We start from the raw sequence: 13,791 nt of genomic DNA, 5'->3' as shown, positions 1-13,791 counted from the left end.
GAAGTGGAAAAACACTAAGGCTCTGTGAACTCAGTTGGCAGGGGCCCTGCATTCGGACCCCCAAATATAGCCTGCTGACAATTTGCCACAGGCATGATTTTTCCACACAGTTCATCATTTTATACATTCTGAGCAACCATCCTGGATATTTGTTCAACAGTACATTTTTTCCACTTCATCTTTTGGCCAAATGTGTGGCTTTTCCTTTAAAAAGAGATGAGAATGTCAGGCACAGATAAATATATATCCCGGCGCTTGGCTATAATGCAATTCTCCACAGGCAGTTCTGTCTCCTGTCCGTGGGAGTGCTTTAACTCTGGAAGCCTCCGGAAGGCCTGGGTCTCACACGCCCTCTCCCATAGCTTGAGCCAATGACGGGAACCCTGAAGAGAAGTTTCAGGGAGTGGGAAGCAGATGTCGTTTGCGTTCAACAGAACCAGACAGAAAGGGAAGCTCGGTGAGGGGTTTCTCAGCAGAGGTGGAGCTCCGGGAAGCTTTGAAACTGTAGGGGACCACCTCAGAAAGTAGCCATCAGTCTCAGAACTTTCCCCAGCCTTGTTACACTGTTGCTCCACCTACATTTCTCTCCTTCCTTCTCTCCCTCTCCAGACCCCACCCAGGTTCCAAAGTCCAGCCTCACGGCTGGACTTGATAAATCTGATTATAGTTGATACAGGCATTTCCCTGTATCAACTATAATCAAACGTGTCAAATCTGATGTCTGGTCCATGTCAAAAATGTCAACTGGATCTGAGTGTGGGATTAGAACAGACTTCCCAATGGGTACCATGCAGTTAATGAGGGTCTAGATTCCCAGGCCAGACCGTAGAAGCCCATGTGACCCAGATGTGCTAGTGATGTCCTGGGTTGAGGCTTCAGGTCAGCTTTTGAAAGGGAGTGGACCTCACTGGCTGTTTCATTTAGCCCCTCACCCTTGGTCCTTCCCTCTCTTTCCTGTCTCAGATGTGAATGATGCATACCTAGAGGTCAGCTGCCATCTGAGTGCCAGGAAGCAAAGGCCACACCTTCTTGAGTAGCTGCAACAGTCCAGGGCTGCTTACCTCTAGGCCTTTTTACAAGCAGAAAGTGGGGCAAGAAATAAGAAAAGAGAAAGCTGTTCAAAGAACCCACTGTAGGCACCGTTCTGCATCATGCGACAGAACATAGTCCTAAACTGATTCAGGAGAGTTCTTTCTGCAGCTCCAGGGGTACTGACTCCTGATTTTAAACAACTGGGGGCCCACATATCTCTTTTTTAACTTTTTTTTTTTTTGGAGACAGTCTCGCTCTGTTGCCCAGGCCTGGAGTGCAGTGGCACAATCTCCGCTCACTGCAACCCCCAGCTTCCAGGTTCAAACAATTCTCCTGCCAAGTAGCTGGGATTACAGGCACATGCCACCACGCCCAGCTAATTTTTGTATTTTTAGTAGAAACGAGGTTTCACCATGTTAGCCAGGCTGGTCTTGAACTCCTGACCTCAGGTGATCTGCCCGCCTTGGCCTCCCAGGGTGCTGGGATTACAGGTGTGAGCCACCACACCGGGCAAGATCTTGATCACGCAGAGGCCACCAATGAGATTTGCTACTCCAGGTGTCCCTTGACAGGCCTGGTGGCGGGTTGGATTGGGAAGAGGAGATCGTGGAAACACCGGATGGATTAAGTGGCTGGAAGGAGAGGCAGGAGAAGCTCTCAAGGGACATGCTCTTGTTTTAAAATAGGCACAGCAAAGTGAAACTGCCCCCAGCAGGGCTGCTGTCCTCGCTCTCCGCTCTGGGGCTATCCCAGCTCACCGGCCATGCATGCCCCACTAGCAATTTTCTTCCTGCCAGGAGCTTGGAGCAACCTGAGTCCACACCAGCTCTCACTAAGCTAGGCCTTATCCACCTGCTACTCAGGTGGGAGGGATCCTGGATGCTCAGTGGCTTCAGCCAGGGCCACAGGCTGGTTCTCAGCAGTCTTCTGTGAGCAGCAAACAGAGCCCAGAGGTTGCAAGGGCAGGCCTGGGTCTGCTCTGAGGGGCTGCAGCACAGCCTAGAACCCCGTGGCATTTGTCAAATGGTGGCAGCAGCTCTGAGAATTGTGTGCTGTATCTGATCACAAAGTTTCATCTTTCCGCAGCATAAGACTTTGCAGAAAAGGACAGTGGCTTTGCCAAGGACCAAAGACTGAGTCACTGCTATTGTGCTGGAGTGAAGAGAGGGGGATCAGAAGAGATCTCTGGGCAGGAACAATCTTACTACTATTGTTACTTTTAATAATTCTAATAATAGGGTCACAATTGTATTTTTTTCCCAGAGTATTGTCACCTGTATTGACTCGTTTAATTCCCACAATATCCCTCTGAAGTAGGAAAGCGAAAGCTGGGGGTATTGGATTCACATTTAAGAAATGAAGAAACTGAGGCTCAGAAAGGGTCACCGACTCCACAGGATCACACAGAGAATCAGATGTGATCTCAAACTAAAGGTAATACTAATAACAGTTGTATCATCTAGGGTCCCCGCAGGAAACAGTGGCATTCTCCAAAGAGGTAGTTCCTAAGAGTGTAATGAAGGGACTATTTACAGAAGTGGGCACAGGTTAAGGGTACACAAGAAGGGAAGCATCTGAGGCCAGCAAGAGCAGGAATGCCCTGCCACCCCGACGCCTGGAGGAGCAGAGAGAGCGGGCAGAACCTCAGTGAGAGATTTGCCGGTAGGAGGGGGCCACCAGGCAGGAGCTGAGAGAAACACAGCCATTGCCAGACCCACAGAGTGAATACCTCATAGCTCTTCCCTCCCAGCCCCTCCCATTTCCTGTTGGTGCCTCCCATAGGGCAATTACGCGCATTGCCTGCAGTCCATGAGGTCAGCTTCCCACAGCTGAGGGCCAGTGGAGAAGGGTGCAGAGCAGATCCGGAGGAAAATGGAAAATACCCAGCTGCGATCTGCTGTGTCCTGATTACATGGCAGGAACCATACTAGGGACTAGGTGGTTTCGCGTAATCCTTGCCGTAGTGCTGTGTAGTAGAAACAAAATCTCAGATGGCCAACTCAGATGTATAAGGAATGAAGCAGGCCGGGCGCGGTGGCTCACGCCTGTAATCCCAGCACTTTGGGAGGCCCAGGCGGGCGGATCACGAGGTCAGGAGATCGAGACCGTCCTGGCTAACACGGTGAAACCCCGGCTCTACTAAAAGTACAAAACAAAATTAGCTAGGCGTGGTGGCGGGCGCCCGTAGTCCCAGCTACTCGGGAGGCTGAGGCAGGAGAATGGCGTGAACGCGGGAGCTTGCAGTGAGCCGAGATTGCGGCACTGCACTCCAGCCTGGGCGGCAGAGTGAGACTCCCTCTCAACAAAAAAAAAGAAAAAAAGAAATGAAGCATTTGGCTTCACGCAGTGGCTCATGCCTGTAATCCTGGCACTTTGGGAGGCCAAAGTGGGTGGATCATTTGAGGTCAGGAGTTTGAGACCAGCTTGACCAACATGGTAAAACCCCGTCTCTACTGAAAATACAAAATTAGCGGGGCATGGTGGCCGCACACCTGTAATCCTAGCTACTCGGGAGGCTGAGGCAGGATCACCTCTTGAACCCGGGAGCGGAGTTTGCAGTGAGCTGAGATGGTGCCATTGCACTACAGCCTGGGCAACAAGAGTGAAACTCCATCTCAAAAAAAAGAAATGAAGCAATTATAGTTTTTTTAAGTATATAATTTAATTTCCAAATGGAGCCTCCATTCTGCTAGGTGGCAGAAATTTTATGTCAGCTCATGGTTTCTTCAGCCAGTTCTGGATCCCAGCACAGCCCAACTCCTTGAAAACGTCTTCCAGGAGCTTTGTGTGTGTCCATGTGGCTTCCCAAGTACCCAGTCACCAGCTGCTTCTATCCATGGGTGCACACTGACATCTCTCAAGGCATCCTTCTTCCCATCTGGTCTCTTGTCATTGGATCAAATTAATGAGTGCCTGTCCCAACTATGTGATCTCTCTAGGTCCTATTCTCTTTCAACCCTCTAGGGAACTCAGGAAACATTGGGCTATTGTCCATAATGTGGTGATGGTGGTGGTGATGGTGGTGGTGGTGGCGGTGATGGCAGCGGCAGTGGTGATGGCGATGGCGGCAGCGGCGGTGGTGGTGGTGGTGTCACCCGAGGCTGCCTTGGTCCAGCCAGCACGCAGCCTTCTCTATTCATTCTCTCTTGTGTGGACCCGTGGGGGAATTCTATGAGTCTTGCCACTTCAGGGCTCCACTCAGAAGGCAAGGTGAAGTCTTCTTTGGAGCCAGATTCCCAAATGGATCTGGAGTCTCCATTACACACAACCCCCTAGGGGTTTGACCCAGAATCCTCCTCTCAGGGTCATGTGACAATATCTACCCAACCCTCTTGCTTCTTCTCTCCTCCCTCTTGACTCTTTTCCCACCCGCCTCCTGCCATTGACTCCAGCCTATAGAATCTTTAAACAATCACTGGCGTATTGAAAGAATGGCTCTGGGTAATTAGGCATATTTCTGTTTCCAAATCTACTGTTTATGCATAAGCTTTATTCTCCAAGGCTTGCAAGAATAGGATTTTAAAGTTGAAAGGCCTAGATTTTTGCAACCTAAAGCTTTTTCTTTAAAAAATATTTTTTTTTCTTATGTCTGACATGAGAAAATTAGGAGCTCAAAAATTGAGAGTCGCCATCTTGGTTGTCTGCCTTCTCTGGTGGCATCCCTTTCCTGGGGTAGTAAGCCTCAGCTGCCACCTGAAAAAGAAGGATCTCAAATTACAGGAACTACCCAATATGAAAACCATAGCAATAGTTAATGCAGAAATGGAATCATCACGAAGATAATGCAGCTTAAATTTCAGGCCTCCCTTGGAAGAGCTGCTTCCCCAACCTTGGGAGGACTCAAGCAATAGATTAACATGGTTTTTTTTGTTGTTATTGTTGTTTTGGGTTTTTTTTTTTTTTTTTTTTTTTTGAGACAGAGTCTCACTCTGTTTCCCAGGCTGGAGTGGAGTGGCACAATCTCGGCTCACTGCAAGCTCTGCCTCCCGGGTTCATGCCATTCTCCTGCCTCAGCCTCCTGAGTAGCTGGGACTACAGGCACCCACCACCACGCCCGGCTAATTTTTTGTATTTTTAGTAGAGACAGGGTTTCACCGTGTTAGCTAGGATGGTCTCGATCTCCTGACCTCGTGATCCGCCCGCCTGGGCCTCCCAAAGTACTGGGATTACAGGCGTGAGCCACCGTGCCCGGCGCAGCATGTTTTTAAAAAATATGCAAAAATCAAGATATAATATTTTAACAATTCCTGAAGCCCACATCTCCCACTCAGACTTCGTTTCCACCACACATCTGCTTGTATTGGGTGGTGATGCGGCTCTTTGGGGCTTTAGCCGAAGGGAAGTCGAACTGGGTCTACACAGTAACATCCTCAGCCTGGACTAGGGCAGTGCACACCCTCTACTTTCAGAAGCTCCTCTCTTGTCCTTCTCTAGCTGCATTTCTACCCTAAGGGCAAGGAGTCTACAGGGCCAAAGGGAGCTTCACCCTCTTCCAGGCTACTCCTCAGGTGCGGCAGCCATGGGAATCTGCCTCTCAGAGCTTCCTTGAAGAAGAGCATGAGGGACTGGGTGCAGTGTCTCACGCCTGTAATCCCAGCACTCTGGGAGGCTGAGGTGGGCAGATCATAAGGTCAAGAGATCGAGACCAGCCTGGCCAACATGGTGAAACCCCATCTCTACTAAAAATACAAAAATTACCTGGGCCTGGTGGTGCACACCTGCAGTCCCAGCTACTTGGGAGGCTGAGGCAGGAGAATCACTTGAAGCCGGGAGGCAGAGGTTGCAGTGAGTCGAGATTGCGCCACTGCACTCCAGCCTGGCAACAGAGAGAGACTCTGTCTCAAAAAAAAAAAAAAAAAAAAAAAAAAAAACCACAGGAAAAAAAAAAAGAAGAGCATGCTGTCAGCAGCAAGGGCTGCAGTTAGCTGAGACCTCCAGCTAGAACAGCATCAGGATCTGCCACACTGTCTGAGTCAAGGCCACACTTCCACCAGGCAGCCTTCAGCTAAAGAGGGACCACAGCAGGAATCCTAGTGGCTGGCCAGCTCTGCCAGTGGGAGAGCCTTCTCATGGGCAGTCTTTCACTATAGCTCCCTATTGGGTTGGACCAGGTTTCATCAGATGGCATCTCACTCTGAGCCTCTACCTGCTTACTCTGCTCCTTCTCTAGTTCCTTTCACAGGTTCAGATTGGCATTGGGATATGAAGTCTTTTTCTGCCCAATCCTGCTTCATCCTCCTATCACGTTAACAAGGCTTACCTCTTACTCAGTCTCCAGCACTCCTAACTGACTCCATTTCTTCTACCCAGAGGACCTGACCTGACACCATCGATGCTGGAAGTGGCCTGAGAAAACAATAAAGAGAGGGCGTGGCACCTTGATCAGCTAGCATGAGGGCTCCATCCCAGGTGGTCTGGGAGGCACAGAGGGGTGCCTAGGATGACACAGCAACCCAATTGCTATGCTTTCAGTGATGCTGACTTGGGAAATTGCTCTGATGGGAAGACCCAGGTGGCGGATGCCCCTGATGACTTTGGTTCCCAAGACCCCTCTGAGCCCTCAGTGCTGGCAGGGATTGCCACTTCTCTCAAGAGTCAGCCCTTTCCCCACCCTGTAGAGGTCTCTCCCCTACACGATAGCAGGGCCCCCCTCAGGATCTGCCCCCATCTCCTTTCCTGGCTGCAAAGCCAATAAGTAGGATTAAATGGCAGCATAACCCAGCTGGGGACAGGCTAGGCTTGATAAGGGAGGAAAGCAAGAGCCCCCAAAGGTGCTGCAAGAGTGGACTGCCATAGACCAGTGGGCGCTAAGGGGGGTCCAGGCAGGGAGGGTGTTGATCAGGGTGGGGCTTAAGACCAGGTTTATTAGTTCATTCTCATACTTCTATAAAGAACTACCTGAGACTGGGTAATTTATAAAGAAAAGAGGTTTAATTGGCTCACGGTTCTGCAGGCTGAACAGGAAGCATAGCAGCTTCTTCTCAGCTTCTGGGGAGGCTCCAGAAAACTTACAATCTTGTGGTGGAGGAAGGGGACACGGGCACGTCTTACATGCCAGAGCAGGAGGAAGAGAGAGAGAGGGGGAGGAGGTGCTACACACTTTTAGACAACCAGATCTTGTGAGAACTCTATCATGAGAGCCGCACTGGGGAGACGGTGCTAACGCATTCATGAGAACCTGCCCCCATGATCCAATCGCCTCCCACCAGGCTCCTCCGCCAACATTGAGGATTACAGTTTGACATGAGATGTGGATGGAGACACAGATCCATACAGATCCAAACGGTATCATTCCACCCCGGCCGCTCCCAAATCTCATGTCCTTCTCACATTGCAAAATCCAATCATGCCTTCTCAACTGTTCCTTCCCCAAAGTCTTAACTCATTCCAGCATTAGCTCAAAAGTCCACAGTCCAAAGTCTCATCTGAGACAAGGCTAGTTAGTCCCTTCCACCTATGAACCTGTAAAATCAAAAACAATTAGTTACTTCCAACGTACCATGGGGGTACAGGCATTGGGTAAATACTCCCGTTCCAAAAGGGAGAAACCGGCCGAAAGAAAGGCTGCAGGCTCCACTCAAGTCTGAAACCCAGCAGGGTGCCATTACGTCTTAAAGCTCCAAAATAATCTCCTTGATTCCACGTCTCACATCCAGGGCACAGTGATGCAAGAGGTGGGCTCCCAAAGCCTTGGGCAGCTCTGCCTCTGGGGCTCTGCAGGGCTCAACCCCTGCGGCTGCTTATAGGCTGGCGTGGTGCCCTGAAGCAGGAGAGGCACATGGTAAGTGCTTAATCGCCGGGAGCCAGAAGGTCACACCCATTGTAACAACTGGCAAGGCTGGAGTGGCAGCCAACAGGGCTTGACTTCCAGAGTGAAGGAGATGTTGACAGAATACAGCAATGCTAGTGAGGGGCGGCCCATACGTGGACTGCTGTGTGTGTGTGTGTGTGTGTGTGTGTATTTACGTGTGTATATATAAACTGGACTGGAGTTAGCTTTTTGAAAAATATGACTTTTTAGTTTACTCAATGTCATTTTATTTATTTGTTTTTTTTGAGACGGGCTCTCACTACATTGCCCAGGTTGGTTTCGATCTCCTGGGCTCAAACGAGTCTCCCAACTCAGCCTGCCGAGTAGCTGGGATTACAGGCATGAGACACAGCCCCTGACTGGAGTCGGTTTCCAGAACGGAGAACTATTGACTGAAGAGGTGGCTGGGTACCCAGGAGAAAGAATCCTGTGACATGACAGTTTTTAAAGTAGAGATTTCAGATAAACAACAGGACCTATGACCATTTACTAGAGTGACTTTTTGCTGGGGAAAGAGGGTTGCTCAGCTATTTGAAGGACTATCTGAAGATCTGAATTGACATTGACATCCAGAGATCCGAAGACTCCTCCTAGCCCATCTCTTAGAGTAGGGCCGTGCAAAAAGCCAGGGAAGAAAGCGAGTGCTGGCTGAAGTCCAGCTGAGAGTGGGTCCACTGGCTCCGTGGATCCATCCTAAGGTCATTTTCTCAGTCCCTGAACGTATAATTGGCATTGGAAAAACTCGCACATTGGGTTTTTGGCCTGTAGAGTAAAAGCTGTCATACTGGGGAAAGCCAAGTGAAAACTCTTGATACTACTCCCACCCTGAACCTCAGCCAAGAGAGGAAAATACAAACAATATCGCATCCTGGGGGCTGCTAGAGATTAATGCCACCCTTATGGAACTCAAGGAGGCATGGCTGGAGGTCTCCCCCGTATTTCTATTTAGTTGACCAAACTGGCCCCTGCAGGAACCAGAGGGAACCCGGAGAACTGTGGACCACCACAAACCCAAATAGTAATAGCCCCAGTTACCACGACCAATGTAGTATCTTTGCCAGAGCAGATTACTACGGCCATTGATTTAATGAGTGCATTCTTTTTTATCCTGATCAGAAAAGAGAATCAGAAATATTCTGCATTCACATGGAACAGACAACACATATTTACAGTTTTGCCCCAGGGCTCTTTGACTCACTCACTTGCTTTCTGTCTTAACATAGTCTAGAGAGATCTGGATTGTTTGGGCATCCCACAGAGCATCATATTGATCCATGAAATTGATGACATCTTTCTAATTTGGCAGGATGAGAAAGAAGTAGCTGGCCTGTAGAGGACTTGGTAAAGTACATGTGCTCTTGAGGGTGGGGAAGAAACTCTATGAAGATTCAGAGACTGGCATATCAATAAAGTTTTTAGGGATGAAGTGATCAGGGGCATGCCAGGGCATCCTCTCCAAAGTAAAAGACAAATTGCTGCATTTTATAACCCCTATTGCAAAGAAGGAGGCACGATGCCTGATACGCCTCTTGGGTTCTAGAGGCAATACACTCCACACTTAACGAAGGCTATTCCAGACCATCTGGTAAGTGACATGGAAGGCTGCCAGCTCTGAGTGGCCAAGAGCAGAGTGGGGCCTGCAGCAGGTTCAGGCTGTGGTGCAGGCAGCCCTGCCGCTTGGGCCATTTGATCCAGCAGTCCCTGCGGTGCTGGAGGTGTCAATGGTGGAGGAGGATGCAGTGTAGAGCTAATGACAAGCCGCCATGGGAGCATCACAACACAGGCTCCTGGGGGCCCGGAGCAAGGCCATGCCATCTGCAGCAGAGAATACATGCTTTTCGAAAAGCAGCTCTCGGTGTGTTATTGAGCCCTGATGGGAATGGGAGAGTTGCCCAGGGGATCTAAGTGAATGCATCTAGAAATACCCAGCATGATCTGGGCTCTCACAGAGTGATGGAAAAGGTTCACCTGGGATGAAGCCTGAGCTGGGGGTGAGGGAGCACAAGGAAGTTGTATGAGCAGGTGTCCCAGACCCCATGTCATCTGCCACAGCTGCACCATCACCCCTCCCTCAGCACACCCCCATGGCCATCCCGTCGGTGGGAGTGGGCGGGGGTGCCTTCTATACCCGGCTGAGAGTGGAGAAAGGGCCTGAATTTAATTTGCAGATGGTTTGGCTGGGTGCTGTGTGCGGAAACAAGCAGAAACTGGAGAGCAGCTGCCTTACAGCGACACTCAGGGACAGAGTGCTAAAGACAGTGGCCAGGGGAAACCCTTCTGATCAGGGGGATTCCAGCATTGTCCCTGGTCATGCACTTTGTGTGGAAGGAATCTTTGCCAAAGGTGAAAAAAATCTGAACTCATGGCAGTGGCAAGAGTTCACCTTATCACCTGACTTGGCAGACTGGTCAGGGGCCAGCCTAGAAGAATGAATGATCAGAGACCAGGAGGTCTGGGGGAGAGGCAGTTCATGGATATATGGAAATTGACATAAAGAATGGTGATCTTTGCATTATATATCAACTACCTGAAAGCGTTAGTCACGAAAGGGGCACGAAATAGCCAAGTAGGCAAAATAGCTCAGCCACGGATGTCAGCTAGCATATGCCATGAGCTATGAACTGGCAGAAGCAGAGATGACATATGGGCCCAGCAGCATGAACTCCCACTTACTAAAGCCAATCTGGCTATTGTGCACCGTGGCAGTCAGGGAGGAGTGTGGCTCAGATCTCCCTTCCAGAAGGAACTTGCTGGTCAGCGGCAAGGAGAGTAGTTAGCTGGCAGCATCCAGCTGAAGCCCCTTCACAATTCACTACAGCCCCTCCTGGGCGGCCCGGCCAGCAGTGAGCATGCTGGGAGCTTTCTATGCCCAAAGCAGGACCCCTCTGATGGGCAGTCTGCACCAGAACTGCCCATCGGGTTGACCACATTGTAAATGATCTCCAGGACAGTGTGGGGCTCTCCCTGCCCATTTTTGCCCTCGACACATTTCAGATCAGCATTGTGATCTGAAGCCTTCCCCAACCAACCCTCCTCTGTCACTTTTTATCTTTCAAAAATGTCTCTCCTCAGGAACCCTCTTGCATCCCCAATTCCATTCCTGGATCTGCTTATCAGAAGACCTGGATTGATACTCCAGGCCCAGAGACCCTTGCCAACATCAGTCATGCTACCAGGGCCCGTCAGGACCGCTGCCCACGTCCTCCCAAAGGCCGGCTCACACTGGTGTGCAACCCCAGGCCTGAGGGGCTGCCAAAATGCTGTGTACACGGGAATGGTCGATCTTAGCCATGAGCCTGGGCTATCCACACACGTGCCACAGCCCTCAGGCTGCAAAGTGCTTCCTCCTGGAGAAGGAGAACCGGCAGCCAGCCAGGGGGCAGGGCCAGCTTTCCCCACACAACACATTCCCGATGGAACCCAGGATTCTGAGAATTCTAAATTTGAATCTGGCCTTTCAAATTGTCAGGGTAGAAGGATGGGACACAGTGTATTTAACGGTTTGTTAGCGTGATTGATGACTTTCAGGAATTTATTTTAAACATATGAAAAGGGGACCTCCTTTCTAGTCTCGTCCTGGGCTATGCATTTGTTAGGAGTAGGCCTGGCCTGGAGATTCATTTATTTGGGTAAATGGGATATACTGATGCATTTCAAAATCACTTTCATCAGCTTGTTGCTAGCCATCCTGGTGGAAGAGTGGTTTCTAGAAATCCTCCTGAGGCCTGTGGTGCCCACTCACCAGGCATCATGACAGAAAGTGCAGTGCTCAAAGTCACACTGAAACAAATGCATTCTGGCTGTAAAAGGATGGGTTTGTGGGGATGAAGCAAGGCAGGGCAAGGTTGAAGGAAATGCTTCCAATCATGAATATGTAATGGCAATTGCAAGCAGAGAATTTGCTTGTCATTGATACCTAGTTGAAGCCATCAATAATAAAAAACAAATTTTGACCAACTGTGCTAAGGAAAAGACTGAATTAACTTTATAATCTCTTTATAGAAACAGAAAATACTACCACAAAACCATTGCCATAGGAAGAAGCTACTAAAATGCATGCAGCCAAAAAATGTAGGAAAAAGGTATTAGAAGCATAGAAGACAATTAATAAAATGTAGTACATTATTTTTCTAGATTTTGTGATATTTGTAGTATTTGTTCAGTTTTTCTTTTTTCTTTTTTCTTGAGACAGGATCTCACTCTGTTACTCAGGCTGGAGCACAGTGGCGTGATCACAGCTCACTGCAGCCTCAACCTCTCAAGCTCAGGTGATCCTCGCACCTCAGCCTCCTGAGTAGCTGGGACTACAGGCGTGTGCTACCACGCCTGGCTAATTTTTGCATTTTTTATAGAGGTGGAGTTTCACCACGTTGCCCAGGCTGGTCTGGAATTCCTGGACTCAAGTGATCTGCCCGTCTCCACCTCCTGAAGTGTTGGGATTATAGGCATGAGCCACTGTGCCTGGCCCAGTTTTTCTTTTTAATTGTAATTTGTTGTGATTTTTTTCTCCTAAGTAAATATCCCCTTTTATATTTGATGTGTTTGTAAATTTGTATTCTTCTTTCTTAAAAAGGACCCTCCACACTGAATAAGCTTCAGGCCCCACAACACCCAGATCCACTCCTGAATGAATATTATTATTACTAGTCAAAGTATTATTTTATCACATCCATGAGGGAGATAGAATTGCCTCTGTTTTACAGAAAAGTAAAGGCCAGGAGATGAAGTTGCTTACTCATTCTGACTCTGAATGCTTTTCCCGCTAGATTCTGGAATCTTCAGGCTTCTTGGCGCTCAGCCTGTTCGTTGATCCCCCTGCTGCTTCTACCACCCAGATCCCAGCAGGGAAAGCCAGAGGGAGACTAAATAGGAAGAAGAAGCCTCTCTGAATAAGCTGAGAAGGTTCCATAACGTCCCACTCTTCCGCAGCCCGTGGTCAGGGAGCTGGGGTGGGGGTGGGAGTGGCCGCACAGAAACCAAAAACCAACTGGCCCAAACAACCAGCTTTTGCAGGAAGGCAGAACAGGCAGTTAGGGGCTCCGGATCCCAGGCCAGGACCCTCGGACCTCAGTTAACGGCTAGTGTAGCTGAAGCCTGACGTCACCAACAGAGACAAGGAGGAGAGTAGGGAAGGATTACATATCTGTGGTTCTGATTTCCTGAAATAGTCCAGCCCTGCATGAAAGGTCTCTGTGCAGAGTCGGAGTCTAATCCAAGTTCAGGATGGCCACTAAGGGCACCTGATTTATCACTTATCTTTAGCCATGGGCCATGAACATTCCTTTGCTAATCAAGGCTGTTAACAACCCCAAAAGCGTTGCGTCTTAGAGCAGAAAGAATCCCAAGATCACTGAATCCAGGGATTCTTAGGTCCACCCTGAAGAAACAGAGAATCAATGAGTGACACTTCCAAAAGCTCAATGCATGCAATTTAAACTATCATTTTGGCCAAGATATATATTTTTCTGTTGTTAAAATGTCTTCAGTGAAATGATGGAAATAATGGTGGTGATATTTGCTAGTATTTATTGAGTGTTGCCATGTTCTGGGCATTGTGTTAAAAAGCCTTGCACAGTGTATCTCAATCACCATAAGAACCTTAAGAGAAAGACACAATTTTGGTTTTTTTTGAGACAGAGTCTCTGTCACCCAGGCTGAAGTGCAGTTGCGGGATCTTGGCTCACTGCAACCTCCGCCTCCTGGGTTCAAGTGATTCTCCTGCCTCAGCCTCCCAAGTAGCTGGGACTACAGGCACACACCACCATGCCCGGCTAATTTGTTTATTTATTTATTTATTTATTTTCTGGAATGGAGTCTTGCTCTGTCACCCAGGCTGGAGTGCAGTGGCGTGATCTTGGCTCACTGCAGCCTCCGCCTCTCGGGTTTAAGTGATTCTCCTGCCTCAGCCTCCTGTGTAGCTGGGATTACAGGAACCCACCAGCACACCC

At 49.2% G+C, this 13,791-nt stretch overlaps 1 long non-coding RNA gene across 1 annotated transcript; it reads right to left on the bottom strand.

The window, feature by feature from the left end:
* Positions 1-3,672: 3,672 nt before the first annotated feature.
* LINC00570 (long intergenic non-protein coding RNA 570) lies at positions 3,673-12,769 on the bottom strand. Its single transcript, NR_047499.1, has 3 exons — positions 12,579-12,769; positions 6,293-6,378; positions 3,673-4,725 (listed from the first exon to the last, which is right to left on the bottom strand). It is a non-coding gene; the product is annotated as a long intergenic non-protein coding RNA 570 (long non-coding RNA).
* Positions 12,770-13,791: the final 1,022 nt, after the last annotated feature.

The sequence above is a fragment of the Homo sapiens genome, chromosome 2, assembly GCF_000001405.40.
Source record: "Homo sapiens chromosome 2, GRCh38.p14 Primary Assembly".
NCBI classification, from domain to species: Eukaryota; Metazoa; Chordata; class Mammalia; order Primates; family Hominidae; genus Homo; species Homo sapiens.
Note: the sequence above shows the minus strand (reverse complement) of the source record. Positions and strands in the feature narration are given on the sequence as shown.